The sequence below is a fragment of the Homo sapiens genome, chromosome 9, assembly GCF_000001405.40.
Source record: "Homo sapiens chromosome 9, GRCh38.p14 Primary Assembly".
NCBI lineage: Eukaryota > Metazoa > Chordata > Mammalia > Primates > Hominidae > Homo > Homo sapiens.
The window spans coordinates 107,072,415-107,096,871 of NC_000009.12; the positions used below are offsets into that span (position 1 = coordinate 107,072,415).

General features: G+C 38.3%; 1 long non-coding RNA gene across 1 annotated transcript in view; it reads right to left on the reverse strand.

The window, feature by feature from the left end:
* LOC340512 (uncharacterized) overlaps positions 1 to 24,457 on the reverse strand; it is a 128,156-nt gene that overhangs the window by 97,582 nt on the left and 6,117 nt on the right. The gene's annotated exons all lie outside the window — the stretch shown is intronic.

Here is a 24,457-nt window from a genome sequence, read left to right on the forward strand (position 1 = left end):
TGAAAAGTTGCGAATGGTGTTTTGCTTTTAGAAGTGAGTGACAGAGTATTGACCCAGATTGCTTTCTGTGTAACCTAAGAGAAGGATCTACTTGAGAGTGTAAATAGTAGGAAAATAATAAGAAGACACTAAATATGCAGGCTCCGAAATGAATGACCTATGTTAGAATTAAATAATTTACTAGAAATGTGACCACAAGCAAATCACTTTACATCTTTGGAATTCATTTTCCCAGGTGTGCAATAAAAAGCTTTGCCTAAATCAGCAATGAACAAACTCTTGGCCTGAAGAATGCATTGGCCCACCTAGTTACACATATAATCTAATTTGTGTGTGAATTTATGACAGCAAATATTATCTTTGATATAATTTAAGCATGAAGTTAGAAATTAGAAAGTTGCTTCTTTTTTTTATTATTATTTTTTATTTTTTGAGACAGAGTCTTGCTCTGTTGCCCAGACTGGAGTGCAGTGGCAAGATCCCAGCTCACTGCAAGCTCTGCCTCCTGGGTTCATGCCATTCTCCTGCCTCAGCCTCCCAAGTAGCTGGGACTACAGGCGCCCGCCACCACACCCGGCTAAGTTTTTGTATTTTTAGTGGAGACAGGATTTCACCATGTTAGCCAGGATGGTCTCGATCTCCTGACCTCATGATCCGCCCGCCTTGGCCTCCCAAAGTGCTGGGATTACAGGCGTGAGCCACCGCGCCTTGTTGAAAGTGGCTTCTTTATTGCAATTTCCAGAGTATTCCCAGAAATTAACACTTCAATGACTAAAAGGCAGTGCCACATTTTTCTACGTGGTTTTCTAAGCTAAAATATAACAGGTATCAAATTATTAGAGTATGCATTTTTCCACAGGAATCAATAAAGCTATTTTTTTTCATTTTGTCTGATAGAAAATGGGTCATATATACTTTTTTGAGGGGAGAGATAGTGCAAAAGAAAAACTTTGCTGTCACTGGGTAGAATATTTCTAACTCTTTTGGAAATAACAGTTAAGGCTCCTCAGAGTGGACTTTGTAGGTGACTAGTAAATCTCAATTGGCCTACAGTAAGTAATTCTGTATTATAACTAGAAATCAGAGGCTCACAACTAAATTGCTTGGAAAAATTGTTCTTTTTAAATTCTGTTAACTGTAAAGAAATGATAAAAACAAATGAATCAGTTGCTTCCCTGATATTTATTATTATTTAGGGTGACAGGAAGAGGGGAAATTGGGGCTGCTGACTTGCTCCTTTGTTCTACTTTTACTGTTGAAGACTCTCTTGTTCTGTGAACTTTCCTTTTGGATTCCAAGCCTCATTTGTAATTAAATCTCTAAAGAATAGAAAATCAAGAAGCAAGTTGCCACCCAAGAAAATACAACTGGTTTAACAATAAATTTCCAATTGTTTTCCCTGCTTCTGTATTTTTGTGCCTCTAATTCATATTAAACCCAGCCACCATAATACTCTACTCAAAGCCCAGCTCTGCTCACATTGCACTCCTGCTCAGAAACCTTCAGAGTCTCCTCAGCATTTGGAAAAGCAAACCTGTAATTTTTAGCCTGACCTTTGATGCCACCTGCCATTATAGAATGAAGGCTCTCATTAAACTTCCCTAGGCCTTGATTGCCCCCTTCTCTGCATTTTATTCAATCTCTTCCTCCTAACTAGATGACCAGCCCTCTGTGCCCCCATGTTCCCAGAAGTCCATTGAGGTACCCTTCTTTTCTGGACATTTTTCTGGAGAGTTAGAATCATAGGTACTCTTGGCGTATTTTGTATCTCATAGATGAAGTTGAATCGTTCTTCCTTTTAATAGATTTAATTATTTGCATCTTATTACCCTTTCAAGACTATAAGCTTCCTAAAACATGTAACTCATTCTCATTCATCTCATGCTAAACTCACATTCTTTCCAATACTCCAAACTGCATCTTTCCTTTAGAGAAGTGGCTAAACTAGCTATATTGGTAGTATGTCTCCTTGAAATGGAAACATTTCATTGGTTTTGTCATAGCTTCTTCACACATAGGTAGCCTTTAAATTCTGCCTCCTGTCACCCATTAAAGAAAGACTGTCAGTCATTCTTTTATGAGTCCTTGCCTGTAATGGCAAGACTCCCTCCTACACACACACACACACACACACACACACACACACACACACAGGCATGCGCACACACATGCACACACACATACCCCTTAATGAGGTTGGTGTACAGTCAGAATGCTCTGTAAAGATGATTGATATCAGCCAATCCCTCTTAGCCAATCAAATGTATTTGCAACCCAGAAACGGTTAGTGGGGATCCCCTTCTCCTTGGCACTTGTATTAGTTTATTGAGGCTGCTGTAACAAATTACTACAAATGGAGTGACTTAAAACAGCAGAAATTTATTCTCTCACATTTCAGGAGCCCAGAAGACTGAAATCAGAGTGTTGGCATGTCCTGTCTCTGAAGGCTGCAGCAGAGCCCTTCTTTGCCTCTTCCTTGCTTCTGGTGACTGTGGGCAACCCCCAGTGTTCCCTGGCTGTAGGTGCCTCACTCCAATCCTCCCTCTTCACATGGTGAGCTCTCTGAGTGTCTCCTTTCCCCCATGTCCCTTTTCTTCTATAAGGACACCAGGCATGTTGGATTAAGATCCACCCTAACCCAGTATGACCTCATTTTAACTTGATTACATCTGCAAAGACCCTGTTCCAAAAAAGGTCAGATACACAGGTACTGGGAGTTGGGACTTAAACATCTTTTGCGGTAGGGCACAATTCAACCCACAACTCTCCCGGTACAGCTTACTCACAGAGTCACATAACGCCACCCTTCATGCACTGCAGATGAGTACCCCAGCTTACACCTCCTCTCCACTTTCCCACTCAGAGACAACAATAACCCCAAAACTCTTATAAAAGAAATGATAGTGGCCAGGGGCAATGACCCAGGCCTGTAATCTCACCACTTTGGGAGGCCAAGGCAGGCAGATCACTTGAGGTCAGGCGTTTGAGACCAGCCTGGCCAACATGGTAAAACCCTGTCTCTACTAAAAATACAAAAATTAGCTGGGCATGGTGGCACGTGACTGTAATCCTAGCTACTTGGGAGGCTGAGGCATGAGAATTGCTTGAGCCTGGGAGGCAGAGGTTGCAGTGAGCCAAGACTGTACCATTGTACTCCAGACTGGGTGACAGAGCAAGACTCTGTCTCAAAAAAAAAAAAAAAAAATTACAGTTCCTTTTTTCAAATTGAGCTACAACTTATTATTATTATTATCATTATTATTATTATTATTACTTTTTGAGACGCAGTCTCACTCTATCGCCCAGGCTGGAGTGCAATGGTGCAATCTTGGCTCACTGCAACCTCCGCCTCCCAAGTTCAAGTGATTCTCCTGCCTTAACCTCCCAAGTAGCTGGGATTACAGGTGCCCCCCATGACACCCAGCTAATTTTTGTATTTTTAGTAGAGATAGTGTTTCACCATGTTGGGCAGGCTGGTCGCGAACTCCTGATCTCAGGTGATCCACCCTCCTCAGCCTCCCAAAGTGCTGGGATTACAGACGTGAGTGTACCTGGCCTAATTATTATTTGTAATTGTGGTTCCTAATACAGGTGCCAATATATATATAACATAAAATACCCCACTTTAACCATTTTTAAAGGTACAGTTCAATGACATTAAGTACATCCACATTGTTGTTCAATCACCACCATCACATAAAACTGAAACTCTGTCCCCATAAACAATAACACCGATTCTTCACTCCCTTGATGGTTCTTCTAAGTATAGAATTTATCGTGGATAATTAATGATTCAGTTGCTCTAAACCAAGGTTTTAATTTCATTGTATATAATATATAACCATGATATTTATAACCATTACATATACATATATAAGAACTATTTATGTATATACAAAATATACTTTCACATGAGGTACACATGTAATATACATATGTATGTAATGTATATATAATGTCTATACACATGTAATATACATATGTATGTAATGTATATATAATGTCTATACATATGTAATGTATGTGTACACATAATATACAATAATGTGTATGCATACGTATATATGTATCTGTAATGGTTTTATATATATAATGGTTGTGTGTGTATATATATAATGGAGCTCTCTCTTGCTCTCTCACTCAATTTATATATATATGTGTTAGCAGTGAAAACAATGGTATTAGTGAAAAAGTATCCATTGTAGATAGGTGTAATAAGCTAGTCTGGTGCAATTGAGGAAAGTTTTATGCTGCTTGTCCCAGAATGTGACCCAATTCCCTTATTTAACTGATGAAATTATTGCCTAAGCAAAAGTGACTAGGGAATGTTTGTGATAAATCCTTGTGGGAAGGTGTTGCTGGCCCCATTTGAAAGTGCATTCAAATCAATGATATAAACATTTGTTCATAGCCCTTACCTGTGCCAGACACTGCTGTAAGTACTCGGACACAGAAATAAATACTACAGCATTAGCTCTTAAGAGTTCAAGTCTACAGTAGACGTAGAAATTTAATAGAGGAAATATTTCTGAAAGCACATCTTTACTTTAAAAACTACAGCTTTTCTCGCCTTACATGCCTTTTTTTTTTTAAAGGACGGTACAGCCTTCAATTGGTCAATACCTTCCTTGTCTTCACTCCTGCTGTTAGTCTCTGATCCCTGATATTCCACCTTCTAAACACTTTTCAATGGGGATTGGCTTTGCGAAGAAGGATGAGATGCTGGTGGGCATTGAGGAAATACTAGAAAATATAGGTCTAAAGTTCAGGAGGGTTCTGTGTTGGAAAGTAGAAGTGGCCAGAGGACATCTGGTAAATACTGTTCCTCAAGAGTATCACATCTGGTACTTCTGCACCACCTCGAAGCTTTTCCTGGCCAGGAGAAGTAATTGTGCCCCTTCATGAAAGTATATTGCCCAGAAGACTGTAGTACATGCTTTTCTAGAAAGCTCTTAGGCATCCTGACTCTTCTCTTTCTCCGTCTATTTTTAAATGTTGGTACTGTATTCTGCCCTGGGTCTTCTTTTATGGTCACTTTATATTGTCTTCCTGGACCATCTCATGGAATCACATGGCTTCAACTGCCACATACAATCTGATGACTAAAGTTTTTAACTCCCAACACAGACTTCATTCCTCAGCCTTAGAATCACATACACAATTGCCACATTTTCACTTAGATGTTGTAGTGGTATATTTCTCAAACATGTCCAAAAATTACCTATATCCCACTTCCAAATTTTATCTCATGTTCATTCATTCTCTCTCTCTCTCTCCCCCAGTCCCCCTCTCCCACTTTCTCCCTGCCTCTCCTCTCCCTCTCTCTCCCTCTCTCTCTCCCTCTCTTTCTCCCTCTCTCTCTCCCTCTCTCTCTCTCGTGTGTGTGTGTGTGTGTGTGAAAGAGAGAGAGAGAGTTGAATTGCACTAACATCCACCCGTTTTTTCCTCTCTCCATGAGTGAGGCATAGCAGAGGGTGCAACATTAATCAAGCTGTGAGATTCGTAATGCTTTTGGAATTGCATTGTCTGAAATTTTAGGATATATAAGAACATATTAAAGATTAATAGCATAAGACTGGGTGCAGTGGCTCACACCTGTAGTCCCATCTACTCAGGAGGCTGAGGTGGGACGATCACTTGAGCCCATGAGTTTGAGGCTGCAATGAGCCATGATGGCACCACTGCATTCCAGCCTGGGCAACAGAATGAGTCTCCAAAGGAAAAAAATATATATATATATATTAACAGCATAATCTTCAATTCCTGTGACCTTTATGTTGTGTGATAAGACCTGGTCATGAAGGAGCCGTTTCTGATGATTTGGGACAACTCCAGAAGTCACACCCATGTTATCAGTCTACTATACAGTGCTAGGCACATGAGCACTATCTCAGGTGGCAAAAAGGCTAGTGCAGAGAGGCAGGATGGGCCACACTGAGCTAAAGAAGTTGATCAAAGAGGAAAATGAAGACCTCTAGAGTCCTTACTAAAGGCATTGAGATTTTGGTTCACAAACACAGTAAACTGGTGCTAGGTAATGAAAAACCATGTTGAGTATTTTAGTAACTAGTATTACATACTACAAGAAGTACTACCTGCAACAACTGTGAAAGTAAGTAAGTTTGCTCTAAGAATTCAATTCTCAAAATTTTAGCACAATGTTTTACATTATAAAAGAGGTAACCCCACTGGTAATCAGGCCAGGTTCTAAGACATTTGGTTTAATCGGAGACATTTTCCTCTCCACCCGAAAAGCTGGGGCCTCAGTATCCCAAAAAGCTCTGTTATATGTAATGAAGGCTCATGAAATCATAGATTCATACAAAGTAGAGCAAAAGTGAGAGATGACCCACTACCACGAAAGCTCAATCTGGCACTTCAAATCTTGTCAGTTGAGTTTAATGGGTCTGGAGTTTTCTTTTGGAATGATAAAAATACTTTAGAACTAGATAGAGGTGCTGGCTGCACAACATTGTGAGTGTACTAAATGCCACCGAATTGCTCACTTTCAGATGGTTAATTTTATGTTATATGAATTTCACCTCCATTAATTTTTAGAAATCTCATCAGTTAATAGTAGCTGAATAGTAGCTGAACCCTTCCCACTGCCCCATCAACTTCCTATTTCTTTTGCAATTAATTCCACACTCATTAGTATGTATTATAAGACTCTACAAATCTGAACCTGCCTACTTCTCTCACCTCTCTTATTACCCTGCATGCTGGGCATGCAGCTTTTGCTTTCTTCAACACAACAAGTTTGTTCTCACTCCAGGGCCTTAGCACTTGCTGTTCCTCTCCCCTGAATGCCCTTTCCTTCGGTGTGCAAGGTGATTATTTTCTTATGCAAGTCTCAGTTCAAAGCCACTTCCTCAGGGACATCTTCCCTGATGACTGTATCTCCTTAGGCACTATCATACCACCTGAGTCTGTTTCCTTTACAGCACTTATACTATATGAAGTTATATTTTCTTTTCATTTTTACTGGTTTAATGTCTGTTTCTTGCCACTAAAAAATAAATTTTATGAGAAGAATCTTACAGATTTTGTTTATTACTCCATCCCCACTGCCTGGCACATGAAGTCATTTAAAGATAATTTTGCTTGAAAGAATGAAAAGGGAAAGGAAGGAAGGCAGGGAAGGAAAGAGAGGGGAGGGGAAGGGGAGGGAAGGGGAGGGAAAAGGGAGAGGGAAGGGGAGGGGGAAGGGAAGGGGAAGGAAGGGGAGGGGAAGGAAGGGGAGGGGAAGGAAGGGAGGGGAGGGGAAGGGAAGGAAAGGAAAGGGGAGGGTAGAGGAAGGGAGAGAGGGAATAGAGGGGAGAGAGGAAGGGAGAGAGGGAAGATTGCTAAGTCATATGCAGGCTGGACTAGGTGAGAATTCTGTGACTGGTTAGCATTATCTGCCATGAGTGTAGAACAGGACAGATGTGGGATAAGGACGGTAGTATACTGGCAAATGTTTAACTAGTACTAGTAACTAGTTCTGAGGGTTGATGGCAGTGGGGAGGTGACATCCTGATTTGTAGCATTTATCAATTTATGTGGTGTAAACATTCTCACATGGCTGATTTCAAGCAAGCACTAAGTTGTGAACTAGCTCACAAAATTTCTAAAAATTTAACAATTAGTTCTCATGAGCTAGTACAAGGAAATTCTAGCACACCACTGGTATAAATGGCATGCATTTGCTGCCCTGGAGATAGTCCTACATTTTCCTTTTACAGAGAGAGAACCTGAAGTCCAGAGAGAAAAAAACTGGATCAAGATTTTACAACAAGTCTGAAGCACAGGCCGGTTCCTTGGTTAAAGGCTATTTTTCTTCATAAAGACCTTTACATGCTGTCAAAAGAGAAGCACCAAGAGGCATACAACAAGTTTGTGCCTCAAAAGAGTTTATTAGGAGCTGTGTGGCTGTGCAACAAAGCCTTCTGGCAAGGACCCAAGCAGGTTGACAAACTCCTTGTTTGCCAAGAGTTTGGCTACCCGAAAAGATTTTCAATACATTTATTTTGCTTGGGGAATGCTCTGCTGTGAACTGTCAGCATTTTTTCCCTCTGAACTAGAGTTGTTTCTTCAAGCCACATGGACCTGAACAAAAGGCTAAGGAACTGACCGGTTATAAATCCAACTTTTATATCTCAAGAAGTGTGTCTTTTCCATAGGTGACCTCTTAAATTCTCAATTAAATTCTGTTTGGAATTACAAAAAACAGATTTTAAGGGTATCCCTAAATTTTACTTCTTGAGAGGGTAAGCAACTGACCAGTTATAAATCCAACTCTTAGATCTCAAGAAGTAAAATTTAGGGACACCCTTAAAATTTGTTTTTTGTGATTCAAAACAGAATTTAATTGAGAATTTAAGAGATCATCTATGGAAAAGACAGACATGCACACACACAGGAAAAAATAAAATCAATTTACCTCCTGCAGCTGTGTGCACTATCAACGTATGTCCCCTTCTATTCTAACACTGAACATACTGAATTCATTTCCCAGGGATGTTCCTGCAATAGACTGTAGGCTCTTTGAGGGCAGGGCATTTTTCTTACTCATCTTTGTTTCCTTCCTCAGTTTGAGCTCTCAAAACCTCTCAAACATTTCACACATAGTCTAATTTGCTGGACAGAAAATCATAAAACCCTCTGATTAAGCAGAAGGAAAGAGGAGATGAAAGACTGAGTCTAGCCTCAGCTGTCTCACTGATTGCTAGGAATTCCAACAAACCATTTCATTTCTTAGACCCTCAGTCTTCTCACCTGTAAAATGAGCTGGTTGGACTACAGAATCACCAAGGTCTCTTTCTCTCATGTCTCTAAAAATCTTGGATTCTAGAACAGTTTTCCGATTGCTTCATTACAGTTCCTGAGATGTGTGCTCTAATTTTATGTAAATGTGTGTATTTTAGATATGCTTATTAAATATTTAGTCAGTATTGTTTTCTTTTGAGACTTAAGGCCATTGACTAAATTTTTGTTTCTTAAATTTTTCCTAAAAGCAAAATGAGTGAGCCCCATTTACATGGGTAAAACTGAATTAATAACCTTGACATAATGAAAGGCACATGGTCTTTGAAGCCAGGTGGAGTTGTACTCTTAATACTGCTCCTCTCCATACTAGCTGTGTAACATTGACCAAATTACTTCATCTCTCTGAGCTTTGCAGCCCTCACTTATAAAGAGGGACTATTAACTTCTTTACACAGTTGTATGAGAAGTAAAGAAAGACAGGTGCAATGCCCAGCACTCAGTAGTCAGTCCACAAATATTTACTTCTGCTTTCCTTCTTTCCTCCACATCTAGTTTAAGAATTTATACAAAAGCAAAAGAGATAATGCCTTTGAAATATTTTTGAGTCATTAATTATATCTAACATTTGGATTAGATTTGCATGAGATAAAAGGTTACAGAAATTCCCCCAAATAAGGCTGGAAGTTTGCTCTACTGACAAACAATGTTCTTTTCTTGGATGCTGAAATTGATTTATCTATTAACAAATTTATCAGTACTTCCTCCATCCAAGAGGCATATCTGTAAAATGGAAAGATTTGTAGCTTAAAACAAAAAATAAAGAAAACAAGTGGAGAAATGGTCATGCATGGCTGCATCTGTGCCCTTTGAACAGGACTGATGTGTGGAAAAATACGCAGAGCAGGAATGATCTAAGGCGATGCCGTTATTTGGGTAGAATCTGGTCTTTGCTACAGTTTGCTTCAAGATCACCAGTTAGAAACTCTATTATTAAAAACTTGCTTTATTGAAGACATACTTAAACGAATGAAAAGAAAACCCATAGACTAGGAGAAAATATTTGCAAATCACATATTTCATAAAGGACTTATATTCAGATTATATAAAGAAAGAAACTCTTAAAACTGAATAATAAATTCCTAATTTCAAAAAAAGAATCAGAAGTCTTTGTCCTTTTAAAGGTTCTGTTCCATGTAATTTAAAAATTATTACACAGTTCATTATGAATTATAGAAAAATTATAAGAAAACTAAACAAAACATGTTATCTTTAACGTGTTATATTTACTTATAATTTTCCTGTGGATTTACATAGCACTAAATTTACTTCAATGAGATTGAACTAAACATAATGTTTAATAACTTGCCTTTCCACACTTAATTATAAACAATTTTTCCATATCAATAGATCTTATAAATGTTTTGGCTGCTTATTATATGCCATGTGGGTGTACAAATATTTAACCAACCCTCATTATAGATCATTTTAGTTTTTTCAGTACTGAACAAACCCACAGAACTATTCTGAAAGAAATTAGCCTTATCCTGAACAGACAGTCTTTGAAAAAATGTGGACAGAAACAGGTTACAATTAAAATAAGTTTTGAAATTCCATTCTTCTAAGCTTATGGCACGCTTCTCAATTGTAGTGTAAATGAGAGAAGGGCTAAGGGAATTTCTGCAGCTGCCAAAAATTTTGAAAAAAAACTAATTTTGATGATTAGACTTTTTCTCTTTTTTAATGTCACAGACCAAAGTTTGGCCAAGTCCAGCCCACTCTAGTTTTGTACAACCTGAGAGCTAAGAATGTTTTTTTTACATGTTTAAATGGTTGAAAAATAAAACAGAATAATAATATTTTATGACACATGTAAATTGTATAAAATTCAGATTTTAGTGTCCATGAATAATAAGGTTTTATTGGAACACAACTGTGTTCAGTCATTTACATATTATCTGTGGCTATTTTGGTGCTCCAATAATAGAGCTGAGTAGATGTGACAAATACTCTGTGGCCTGTAGCGCCTGAAATATTTACTGTCTGGCTTTTTTATATAAAAATTTTGCCAATGCCTGCCAGAGACTATTTTATAGTTAAAACTGAATCTCTTTTGTTCTCAATTATATCTACCTAGTCATTACAAACCTGGAGCTTTATAATAATGTTTAAGCTTGGGAGAATCTTGGGTTTGTGTACCTGCCCTGTCACTGATGACTTTGTGTAACTCATTTTTCCTCTTCAGGCTGCAGTTTCCCAATCTGTAAAATAGGCAGATTGCACTAGATTTCTAAGACGCTCCATTTATTTATCCATATGACAAACACTTTCTTAGTGCCCACTACCTGCCAGTCCCCATGCTAGCTCTGGAATTTACTGATAATGTCTATGAAATGGGACATCATTCTGTGGTTTTCACTGAAACATAAATTACTTCTGACAGGAAAGGAAATGTGGCCAGGCACGGTGGCTCATGCCTGTAATTCCAGCATTTTGAGAGGCTGAGGTAGATGGATCACCTGAGGTCAGGAGTTTGAGACCAGCCTGGCCAATGCGGTGAAACCCCGTCTCTACTAAAACTACAAAAATTAGCTGGGTGTGGTGGTCGGCACCTGTAATCCCATCTACTTGGGAGGTTGAGGTGGGAGAATCACTTGAAACTGGAAGGCAGAGATTGCAGTGAGCTGAGATTGCACCACTGCACTCCAGCCTGGGTGACAGAGTGAGACTCTGCTTCAAAAAAAGAAAAAAAAAAAAAAAAAAAGGAAATGTTAGAGTCTATGGAAAAAAGACCAGCAACAACAAAAAAATACAGAAGGGTCTCCAGAAATAAATGCAGGCAAATGACTTCTCCAAAATTAAATCAACAGTAATTTTAGGAGATTCCAAATTCAGTAACTTTTTCTATAAGAGACTTTAGAGGAAAAAGCTGTATCGTATGCTGGTGCCATCTCCTTTCTTTACTCTTCACCCACTCTGATCTACTAGAAGAGTCTTTCCTGAAAAACATAGTATATATACATAATGGAATACTGTTCAACCTTTAAAAAGAGGGAAATCCTGTTATTTGTGACAACATGGATGAACCTGAAAGACATCATGTTAGTGAAATAAGCCAGGCACAGAAAGACAAATATCACATGACCTCACTCATATGTGACTCTAAAAAAGATGAATCCATAGAAGTAGAGAGTAGAATGGTGGTTACCAGTGGCTGGGGGTACTAGGGTAGGTGGGGAGATCATGGCTGAAGGATACAAAATTTCAGTTAGACACAGGAATAAGTTCGACAGATCTATTGTACATCATGGTGACTATAGTTCATAATATTGTATACTTGAAAATTGCTAAGAGAGTGTATTTTAAGTGTTCCACAAAAAATAAGCATGTGAGGTAATGTACATGTTAATTCACTTGATTTAGTGGTTCCACAGTGTATACATATTTCAAAATATAACAATGTACATCGTAAATACAGGCCATTTTTACTGTCAATTTAAGAGTACTAAATGAAAACACAATCCTAAGATGTCATAACTCAAAGGAATCACCTCATTTGACAGCTAGAGTAACCAAGGTCCAAGGAGGAACTATAGCACTCCCCTTTCTCATGTAACTTTCAGATCTCTTTGACTTTCTAATTCAATAATCATTAATTGAACTCCTGTTGATGTGCACATCTGTGGCTTTGAGTGTCCTGTGTCTGGGGAAAAATTCTGATGGACTTCAAAGCCTAAAGTTTCTGAAACTTCTTTGGCTAATCGTCCAACTCCCTGCACCCAAAGAGGCCCCCTCAGTGTACACCAGCTCAGGTTGACCTCCTCTCCTAGCCACAAGGCTGATCTTTTGTTGACTTCCCAGGCACTGTAAACCAAGAACCTTTTTGATACCATGAACACATCTTTATCACTGTTAATTACTGGGTTGGTACAAAAGTAATAGTGATTTTTGCCATTAAAAGTAATTACTGCACTGGCAAAAAGTAATTTTGCCACTTTTAATGGCAAAAATTGCAATTACTTTTGCACCAACTTAACAACTAACATTTATTGAACATCTATGTTCTAGGCTCTATGTTATATGCATTACTGCATTTAATCCTTATAAAAACTCCAAGGTAAATATTATTAGTTCACTTTCAGATAAAGAAACCAAACTCCAGAAACCTACATAACTTGTTTAAAGTGATTCATTTAGCTTGAGATACACCAGAACTAGAACCTAAATTTGTGACTCTAAAGTCCTTTTTCTTGATACTACACTGCTGTGCGTTTTCATTACGCTCTTTCATTGGAATGCATACTTCTCCCAATTCCTTCAAATTGTCTCCACTTTTTTTTTTTTTTTTTTTTTTTTTTGATATGGAGTCTCACTCTGTCACCCAGGCTGGAGTGCAGTGGCAAGATCTCGGCTCACTGCAGACTCCACCTCCTGGGTTCTAGTGACTGTCTGCCTCAGCCTCCTGGGTAGCTGGCATTATAGGTGTATGCCACCATGCCTGGCTAATTTTTGTATTTTTAGTAGAGATAGGGTTTCACCATGTTGGCCAGGCTGGTCTCCAACTCCTGACCTTAGATGACCCTCCCACCTCGGCCTCACAAAGTACTAGGATTACAGGCAAGAGCCACTGTGCCCGGTCATAAACAGCTTACTTCTAATTACCTTTCACAATTCTTTGCTAAGCCCTTTTATGTTATACTTTGTTTAAAAACAGCTGATTTGCAATAGTCACACAGAAGATCTTACCTTAATCCTGATCTAGTGTCCCATATCCACTAGACTCTGTGTTTCCCACCATCAAGGGCTGTCTTAATTACCTCTATCCACAGAGTTTATCATGAGGCAAGAAAACCAGACAAGTAAATTATGGTAAAGGTCGCATCCTTGAGCCCCTCCAATGGTGCCTGCCCCTTCCCGAGCCCCTGCTGAGGGCTCAGCCTTAGGCAATCATGCATTATGGTGTGGTGCCCTCTTAGCACCTGACCTAAGAGCAGCCAGTGCATGCCAGCAAGTTATGAGTTCAGGTACTTGTCAAAACACCACCAAAATAGGGAAAAAATTAGCTGATCAGGGTCTCAAAAATGCAGACCATAAAATGCAGACAGATTCACCAAATTGGCAGCAGTAACCACAGCTCACAAGTTCCAAAGAAGATAAGTACTAGGTGCCATGAGTGAACTAAAGAGGTAGGATACTAGGTTGGTGAAAACTTTATTGCAGTTTTTCTCATTAAAAGTAATGGCAAAAACTGCAATTACTTTTGCACCAACCTAATAGAAAAATAAGTATGATAGAAGGAGACATGCAGAGCAGATTGGAGGGGGTATGTGACAAAATTGATAGGTAGAAATAGTTACCCTAAGAGTACCTGGGCCAGGTGGAGAATTCTTGCAATGGTTCTTGCAACCTGGATTCTCCATGAACTTTCAGATAGTTTTCACAGTGGAGATGGTTCTTGGTTTTCCATGAGTTTCGAGTCTTGTCCTATGTATCTTTTTGCTGAGTTTACATTTCTGGATGGAGCATAAGTGAGCTGCAGTACTTGGCAACCCCAGGAGTCAAAGTAACAAAGACGACATCAAAAACTGCTAGTTGACTAGCTGTCTGAAAGACTAAGGAATGGGTCTTCAGTTATCTTCAGTTCCTCACATTGGCCTTTCTGGAGATGTGAATTTTTTTCTAGCTAAATGCTGTGATACTAGAACCCTAGGGCATCAGGTGACCTAAAAAGCCTGTGTGTTAGCTATGAATCTTCTATTATAAGCCATCTGCAGTTCTGCAACAAGATCATCAGGAGCCTTACTGACCAGGCTAGGGAGTTCAGACTCCATCCCATCCACAGAGCAGTTACCAAGAAGAAAACAGATTTGCTAGAAGAACGCAGCTGCAATATCAACAACTTCCTTATCAATAATTCCTGTACTAAAGCCTCTTCCACAGTTTGCATTTCAACACTGGGGCCCTTGTTGGCACTTCCCAGGATGACAGAAAGGCAGAGCTAACACCATTTTAGTAAAACATCAATCTCAAAATAAGGATAAACCTCTGTCAGCAACAGTTGTCCTCAGGGGGTTGGCGTCCTTTGCAACAGGACATTGTTTCATTTCCCTGGTTGTGCTCCTTTTCTTATTAAAGGCTAGCAAATAACTGCTGCAAGGTTTTCCACTCTCATCCATTCCCAACTGTCTCCGCCAGAAATATGTGAAACAAGAGGTGAACCAGCTGTATGACAGATGACGGAACTCTGGAAAGCAAAAGTTTGTCACCAGAGAACTCTAAGAACAGCTTCATAAACCACTGGCTACTTCACATGATCCTCTCAGAGTCTCCAGCAGGGGTGGCTAATTGTCCAGGACTACTTAGTACATAGTTTAAAACTTACTTCTAGATTTGAGAACCTTGCAGATGAGAAGAATGCTTTCTATATCTTCATCCAGGGCACAGATAAAATGTTGGAAAGGATCTATCTCAAACCCAAACCCTGTAGAATTGTTCGAAGACTTCCTAGGTAGACACAGAACTAGAAACCAAACCCTTTTGGATGAAATAGTTCAAACATTTGTCTATGAAGCAGAATGGTCAACTATACAGATTTTATTAACATTTGTAAAGATGACATACATAAATTTATTTTAGACATAGACGGGAACTCTTACAGCCTGGGAGCACCTTCAAGTTTGTATATCCACTCAACACACATAATGATTCCTTTCATGTTGGGCATAGGATTGAGCACTGTGGATTCAGAGACGATTAAACCCTTGTCCTTAAGAAACGTATGATCTAATAGAGAGAGGGGAATCCACATCAATAACAATGCTTTTCTCTCCTGCCTGCCTCTGTCACACTGAAAGTGTTTAGAGAGGTCCTAATGCAAACTGTGTACTGAGGAGGCTGGCAGTGCTTTGAAAGCCTTTTAGGGGCCACAGTAATTAAGGGGTATACAAGAAAATGGGACTGCAGGTTAATTTTTCCTAGATTCCACTAGAGGGAAAGCTCTGCATCCATCTTTTATGTCCTGGACTTTGATGTAGGATATCCATCAAATATTTCCATTGTTTTTAAAAAACAAAACAAAACAAAAATGTTCAAGTGGGGACTTCTCCTTTCTGCTTCCAGAAAGGTGGGGTAGATGGGTTGTTCCCTATTCTGTCTCTTAACTACCACTAAAAACCCTGGACATTATATATAAAACAAACACAAGAATACTCTGAAAGATAAAGATAAGAGGACAGACCAGCTAGGAACTTCTGGACATGGTGAGTTCCCTGGGTTTTCATTTCACCTCATGTATCCTAGACTTGGGACTGAAGAAGCTGGCAACCCAGAAATGTCAATAAGCACAAACAACAGAAGCTGGTTCTATCCTGCCAAAGGACCAGGAAAGGGGCAGCCTAGCAAGATAGAAACTTTTAGACACTAACCACTGTCTTCTAGCCAAACAACACAGATGAAAGCTAGCCTCACCCACCCCACCACACACACAAAGGCATAGAGTGTGAAGCTTAGACTTCCACTCTCTCCAGGCTGTAATGAAGTGCCCCACCATACCTCCTCTCCTGCTGGGTTGGTGTCCAGGAAGGCCAAGAAGGTAGCTGGGATGTCCATCCTCACTGGGTGGTAATGAGCTCATATCCTTCCTCATAATGTCAGGCTGGTGAGCCTGAGTTTCCACCTCCCACCTGTTAGTAACGAGGTGCCCCCCCTCCCTCCCCACTGGGCATCAGTGGAGCCTAGTGGAGAGTCAGGACCTTCACCTCTGCCCAGCAATAATAAGGCCACCCTTCCACCTCTGTGGTGTCAGAGAGTCCACATATGAAACGAGAAACAGGCATTCCTACCCCTCTTAGTCAGGGAGTTATTAGTAGAGGCCTAGAGAGAACCACGACTCCCACCATCCCCAAGCAGTAATGACGAGCCCCCATCTCATGTGTTAACAGAGATTTAGTGGGGAAACCAGAGTTCTACCCCTACCTGCCAGTAACAAAACAACACAGCTTCTCCTTCCTTTGTTGAAGTAGTGTCAGAGGAAGCCAGCTAAAATGGACAGCTTAAACGAGACCCATAGTCTCATAATACAGTAGCAGAAATGCCCAGATTTCAATACAGAATTACTCAACACGTCAAGAATCAGGAAGAACTGAATAAAATTTCAACTCAAATGAAAAGATCATAGATTTCATCACTAAGATGATAGAGATAATAGAATTATCTGTCAAAGATTTTAAAGCAGTCATAAAAATGTTTTAATGAGCAATACAAACATACTTCAGACAAATAAATCAAAAATGGGAAAGTCTCAGCAAAAAAAACAGAAGATACAAAAAGCCAAATGAAAAATTTTGGAACTAAAAATAGAACTGAAATGTTAAAAAAAATGGTTATGCTTAACAGCAGAATTAAGAAAATAGAGGGGAAAAAAATCAGTGACTTGAAAGACTGGATAGTAGAAATCACAGAGACGACAGAGAATATTTTTTAAAAAACCCACCGACTTGTAGGACTATAAGAAAATATTTAACATTAATGTCATCAGGGTCATGAAAGGAGAAGAGAGAGAGGGTGAGGCTGAAAAAGCACTTAACAAAATAATTGAAAACTTCCCAAATTTGGCAAAAGACATAAAATCTACGGATTCAAAATGGTGAGCAAGCTTCAGACAGGATAAACCCAAAGTAATCCACACTAAGACATATCAGAGTCAAATCTCTGAAAACTAAAGACAAGGAAAAAAATTCTTGAAAGCAGCCACAGTAAAATTCCTTGCTTACAGGGGAAAACAATTCAAATTACAGTGGATTTCTCATCAGGAACTATGTAGGTCAGAAGACAGAGGCACAACATTTTCCAGTGCTAAAAAATAAATATAGAATTTTGTCAACCCAGAATCCTACATCCAGCAAATTATCCTTCAAAAATTGAGGAAAAATAGGACATTCTCTGGTTAAGAAAAACTGAAAGTACTCGTCATCTGCAGACTTACCCTCAAAGAATGACAAACAAAAGTTTTCTGAACAGAAAGGAAATAATAAAAGAATTTCTGAACTTTGGGAAGGAATAAAAGACATGGTAAACAAAAATATGAGTATATATAATAGACTTTCCTTTTGCACTTGAATTTTCTAAATTATGTTTGACGGCTGAAACAAAAATTATAACACTCTCTGATGTGGTTCCAAACATATGGAGAGGAAATATTTAAGGCAATTATATTGTAAACAGAGGAGCATAATGGGATATAAAAGGAGGTAAGGTTTCTGGCACTTCACTTGAACTGGTAAAATGATACCACCAGTGGATGGTGATAAGTTGTGTACATACAATATAATACCTAGATAACCACTAAAAATGCTATATAAAGAGGTATACTCAAAAACATTATAGAAAGAGCAGATTTTGAATGTTCCCAACACAAAGAAATAAGTGTTTGAGGTGATGGATATGCTAATGACCCTGATTTCATCATTGCACATTGCACACATGTATCAAAATATCGCACCATACCCCTTAAAGATATATAATTATGTGTCAATTTAAAATAATAATAGCCAAAAAGGTATTATAAATAAAATAATTTTTTAATGTTCAAGAAACCCACTGAAAGGCAGGAAAAAGGAAACAAAGAAAAGAGCAAAAAATAAAATGGCATACATATCCCAAACATATTAATAATCACATTGAATGTAAATGGACTAAATACACCTATTAAAGGACAGAGATTGGCCAACTTGGTTGAATAGCAAGACCCGATTATATGCTGCCTATAAAAACTTAACTAGTATAATGTAGGCAAGTTGAAGGTAAAAGGATGCAAACATCAATAAAAAGAAAACAAGAGTTGCCATATTATCATATAAAGTAACTTCAGAACAAAGAAAATTATGAGACACAGACATTACTTACGATAAAAAGGTCAGTCCACCAAGAAGACATAGCACTACTAAATACACCAGAAAAAGATAGCCTCAAAATATGTTAAGCAAACACTGATAGAAACAAAAAGAGAAGTACATGGGCAATTATAGTTGAAAATTTCAAAACCTCTCTCTTAACAATTGATAGTAACAACTAGACAGAAAATCAGCAAGGCTAACAAATAATTCAATAACATCATCAACCAACAGTATCTAATTGACATTTATAGAACCTATCACCTTCAAACAAGAAAATATACACGATTGTCAAGTGCCTATGGCACATATCCTAAAATAGGCCACATCCTGGGCCATAAAATAAACCTCAACAAATTTAAAATTATTGAAATCAGATTGTGTTCTCTGACCATAATGGAACCAAACTAGAAATTAATAACAGAAAGATAATAAGATGATCTTTGATTATTAATACTTGGAACTAAACAATATAATTCTAAATAAGAAATGGACCAGTAAGAAGTCTCAAGAGAAATTTAAAAATACGTTTTACTGAATGCAAATAAGAAAGCAACATGTCAAAATCTGTGGGACACATCTAAAGCAGTGCTGAAAATGAAATTTTTATCACTGAACAAGCTTCCATTTGCAAAAAGGAAGACTCAAATCAGTGGTCAAAGCTCCCATCTCAAGAACATAAGGTGGAAAAAAGAGCAAAATAAACCCAAAGCAAGCAGAAAGAAGGAAATATTAAAAGTCAAAACAGAAATTATGAGATTCAAAACAGAAAAACAATAGAGACAGTGAAACAAAGAGCTGGTGCTTTGAAAAGAGCAATAAAATTAATAAACCTTTCACAAGATTAACAGTGGAAAAAAAAAGACAAATTACCAATATCAGAAGTCATTACAGGCCTGAAGGCGTCAAAGTAATAACAAGAGAATGCTAGAAATAGCTGTACGCTCATAAATTTGACAACTTAGATAAATGGATCTACTTTTGTGAAAAACACAAACTACCATAACTCACCTAATATGAAATAATTTAGATAATCTTATAATTATTAAGGAAAATTGAATTTATAATTTTAAAAACTACCAGACCGGGCACGGTGGCTCACGCCTGTAATCCTAGTACTTTGGGAGGTCGAGGAGGGTGGATCACAAAGTCGAGAGATTGAGACCATTCTGGCCAACATGATGAAACCCCATCTCTCCTAAAAATACAAAAATTAGCTGGCTGTGGTGGCACGTGCCTGTAATGTCAGCTACTCGAGAGGCTGAGGCAGGAGAATCACTTGAACCAGGGAGTCGGAGGTTGCAGTGAGCTGAGATCGTGCCACTGCACTCCAGCCTGGAGACAGAGTGAGACTCCATCTCAAAAAAAAAGAAAGAAAGAAAAAAAAACTACCAAAAAAGAAATCTCCAGGCCCAGCTGATTTCACTGGAGAATTCTAATATTTAAAGAAGTATTAATACTAATTTTATGCAATCTCTTTTAGAAAATAGAAAGGGGAATATATCCCCATTCATTTTATAAAACTAGTAGTGTCCCAATACCAAAACCAGACAAACATAGTACCAAAAAAATAGGCTAATATTCCTAATAAGTATAGATGCAAATATATGTGTGTGTGTGTATCATTTATTTATAAACACACTATGAGCAGCTGAAATTATTCCAGAGAGTGTAAGGCTGTCTCAGTACTCAAAAACTAGTCAGTGTAATCCACTGTATTAACAGGCTAAAAAAAAAAAAAACAACAACAACCATAATCGCATCAATCAAATCAGATAAGAATTTGACAAAATTCCACACTTATTCATGATTAAAAAAAAAAAACCTTCAGCAAACTAGCAATAAAGGGGAACGTTCTTGAATTGAAAAAGAGCATCTACAAAAACTTAAAATTAACATTATGTTTAATGTCAAAAGACTGACATTTTATTCTAAAACTCAGGAACAAGCCAAGGATATTCACTCTCACCACTCTTACTCAACATAGTGCTAGAAGCTCTCGCCAGTACGATATGGCAAGAAAAGGAAATAAAAGTTACATAGAGTGAAAGGAAAAAATAAAACCATCTATATTTTCAGATGACATGATTGTGTAGGAAGTTACAAGGAATCTCTATCCCCTCAAAATCTTTCTAGAACTAACAAATGAGTTAATAAAGTCACAGGATGTAAAATACACATAGAAAAATCAATTCCAGAATGTGCTGGGATTACAGGCATAAGCCACCTCACCCAACATGTTTCCCTTTTTTATCATTCATATTTTCACTGGAGTAGCACTTTAATTTCCTTAAAGAGCTTTTCCTTTGAATTTACAACTTGACTGAGCTTAATCATTTGTAGCTTTTGATTTAGAGTAAGAGATGTGCAACTCTTCTTTTCCCTTGAACACTTAGAGGCCATTGTGGGGCTATTGAATTTTGACCTAATTTCAATATTGTTGTCTCTAAAGGAATAGGGATGCCTAAGGAGCAGGAGATGGGGAAATGACCAGTCAGTGAAGCAGTCAGAACATACACAACATTTATCGACTAAGTTTAATGTCTTACATGGGTGTGGTTTATGGTGCCCCAAAACAATTACAGTTGTAACCTGGAAGATCACTAATCACAGATCACTATGCCACATATAATAATGAGAAACTTTCCAATATTGCAAGAATTACCAAAATGTGACACAGAAACACTAACTGAGCACACGCGTTTGGAAAAATGGTACCAATACTTGCTCAATGTAGAGTTGCCACAAACTTTCAACTTGTTAAAAAAAAAAAAAAAAAAACTCAGTATCTGCAAAGCACAATAAAATGAGGTGTGCCTGCCTATGGAGGAAAGGTCCTTTTCAATAAATGGTACTGGAGCAATTGGACACAAAGACATGCAAACAAAATATTAATCTTGAGTCTCATATATTATACAACAATTAACTTAAGAATGAGTCACAGATTTAAATGTAAAGCATAAAACTACAAAACTTTTAGAAAAACAGGAGAATCTTCAGGGTCTAGGACTAGGCAAAAAGTATTTAAATATGACACCAAACGCATAATCCATAAAAGATGAAATTGATAAGCTGAGCTTTATTAAAATTAAAAACTTCTGTTCTATGAAAGATCCTAAGATGATGAACAGACAAGCTATGAAGTGGGAGAAAATGTTTGCATGAAATCTGACAAAGGACTAGTATCTAAAATATTCAAAACTTGACAGTAAAGAAAAAAATTTAATTAGAAAATTGGCAAGATAGATGAAAAGACATTTCACTGAAGAAGATGTACAGATGGAAAATAAGCACATGAAAAGGTGTTCAACATGATTAGTCATTAGGGAAATACAAATTAAAACCACATTGAGATACCACTATACACCTATCGGAATGGCTAAAATAAAAAATGGCGTCAACACCAAATGCTAGCAAGGATGTAGAAAAATACATATTTCTGGTGGAAATGTAAAATGACACAGCCTTTCTGGACAACGTTGGCAGTTTCTTTAAAAATGAAACCTATAACTACCATATGACCCAGCAATTGTACTCCTTGGCATTTCTCCCAGAGAAATGAAGACTTATGTTGACACAAAAATCTGTCCATGAATGTTTATAGCAGCTTTATATTCATAATAACCCAAAACTAGAAATAACCCTCCTGTCCTTCAATGGGTAAATGGTTAAATAATCTGTGGTATATTCATATCATGGAAAACTACTCAGAAATTAAAGGAATGAACTACTGATACATGCTACAACCTGGATGAATATCCAGAGAATTACACTGAGTGAAAAAAGTCAACTTGAAAAGTTACATGCTGTATGAACATTCTTTTTTTATATATACTTTAAGGTTTAGGGTACATGTGCACAACGTGCAGGTTTGTTACATATGCATACATGTGCCATGTTGGTGTGCTGCACCCATTAACTCATCATTTAACATTAGGTATATCTCCTAATGCTATCCCTCCCCCCTCCCCCGACCCCACAACAGGCCCTGGTGTGTGATGTTCCCCTTCCTGTGTCCATGTGTTCTCATTGGTATGAACATTCTTGAAATGACAAAATTATAGAAATGGAGAATAGATTAGTGGTTGCTAAGAGTCAGGGACAAGGGAGGAAGGTGTGTGTCTACAAAGGGGCAATATGAGGGGTCTTTGTGGTGGTGGAAATGTTCTGTATCTTAAATGTGTCAATGTCAATATCCTGGTTGTGATACTGTACTAGAGTTTTGCAAGAAGTTGCCATTGGAGGAAATGAAATAAAAGGTACATGGAATCTTTCTGCACTATTTCTTGCAATTGCAGATGGCCCCAATTTTATCAAAATCAAAAGTTTAATTTTAGAAATGAAGCTGAAGAATTCCTCCAACCCAACTCAATAATTTCACAGTTGAAGAAACCAAGGCTCTGAAGGGGTCAGGACTGAAATCAGTTCTTCGGCCACCCACTGACCAAGTTTTATGCAGAAGTGGTCAACTCTTTCTAGTGCTTTGGCTTGGTCAGCCAATTGCTGGAATGAAACGACCTGAACCCACTAAGTGCCTGTCACTGTATCTTCACAATGGCTTTCCCTTGCACTTAGGCTTCCAAAGAAAAGGATGGTTAAACAGAATCCTGAGGGACTATGAAGTATGTTCTGAAAAAGACTCTAATGAACAGAGTAATAAGGTGCTCGGGACAGAAGATGGATGAGAAGAAGCATGGTTCTAAAGAGGTAAATCCAAATACAAAGGAAAAAAATAGAGGAAAATAACAGGAACTCTTTGGAGGCAATTGCTATATAGCTGAAAGTTTCAGAAAGCAGTACTTAAATAGTGGGAGGAGGATCATTCAAGTTCCATTTCAGTTTTTTTCATGCAAGAAAGAACTTCTAGTAGACTAGACCAAGGAAACCACAAATGACTTAGACAGACACTAATGTTTCCAGAGCAAGGAAAACGTCTCAACTTCTTTATTCACTTAGGCAATAAGAGCTCATGGGAAACCACCCAATTCAGGGACTACAAAGTTTGGGAGAACTCTATGTGTGCATGCGTGTGTGTGTGTGTGTGTGTGTGTGTGTGTGTGTGTGTGTAAAACAGAACAGACTCACCTGTCTTGGTAACCTGGTAGATAGAGACTGTGACCCTTCTAAACTCAGTAAACTAATACAGACTAGTGGCACTCAAGAAAGTGGATAATAGTCTAAAAGCACAGAAGTAGGACCATCTATTAAAAATGGGTGGCAAATTGGCTCAAATCCAGGAAACAGGTGGAGTAGAGAGCAGTCAGAAATAAGAAAGTGCTCACCTTATGGATAAGCATTATGGACACTTCAGTCTACCCTATATAAATAACCCATAATAGTGGTGTAATTTCAAAAATGGATACATTTGCTGACAGCATAATTGGAACAGAGGGGATGGTGCATACTGGCAGAACGGGCCCTCTGGGCCTGAGTCTTTCCCATTGCGCTGGGTCTCAGTTCCCCCTGGATCAATGCAAAAATATTTTGTCCTGGGGCAAAATATCAGCTTTTGCTTCAGTAGGAAATGTTTCTAAATTTGAACCTCCTTAAATTATTGTGGAACATGAAAGACTACAAAATAATAATAAATAGGGAAAGAAAAAGAAAATTCCTTCTAGAAGTTGAGGGCCCAGTGGATTAGGGCTTCCAACAATCATCCCAGGATCCATCCAAGAGCAGCAGCAAAGCAGCTCATGCAGCTTCCCCCACTAAGGATGGATCCCACAGTTTCTGGGAGTGAGCACCTGTACTCTACAGATATTGGACATGAAGCTTAGAATGGGGTTGAGGTGTGACAGGAAGGTGGGGAGATAGGAGACAGA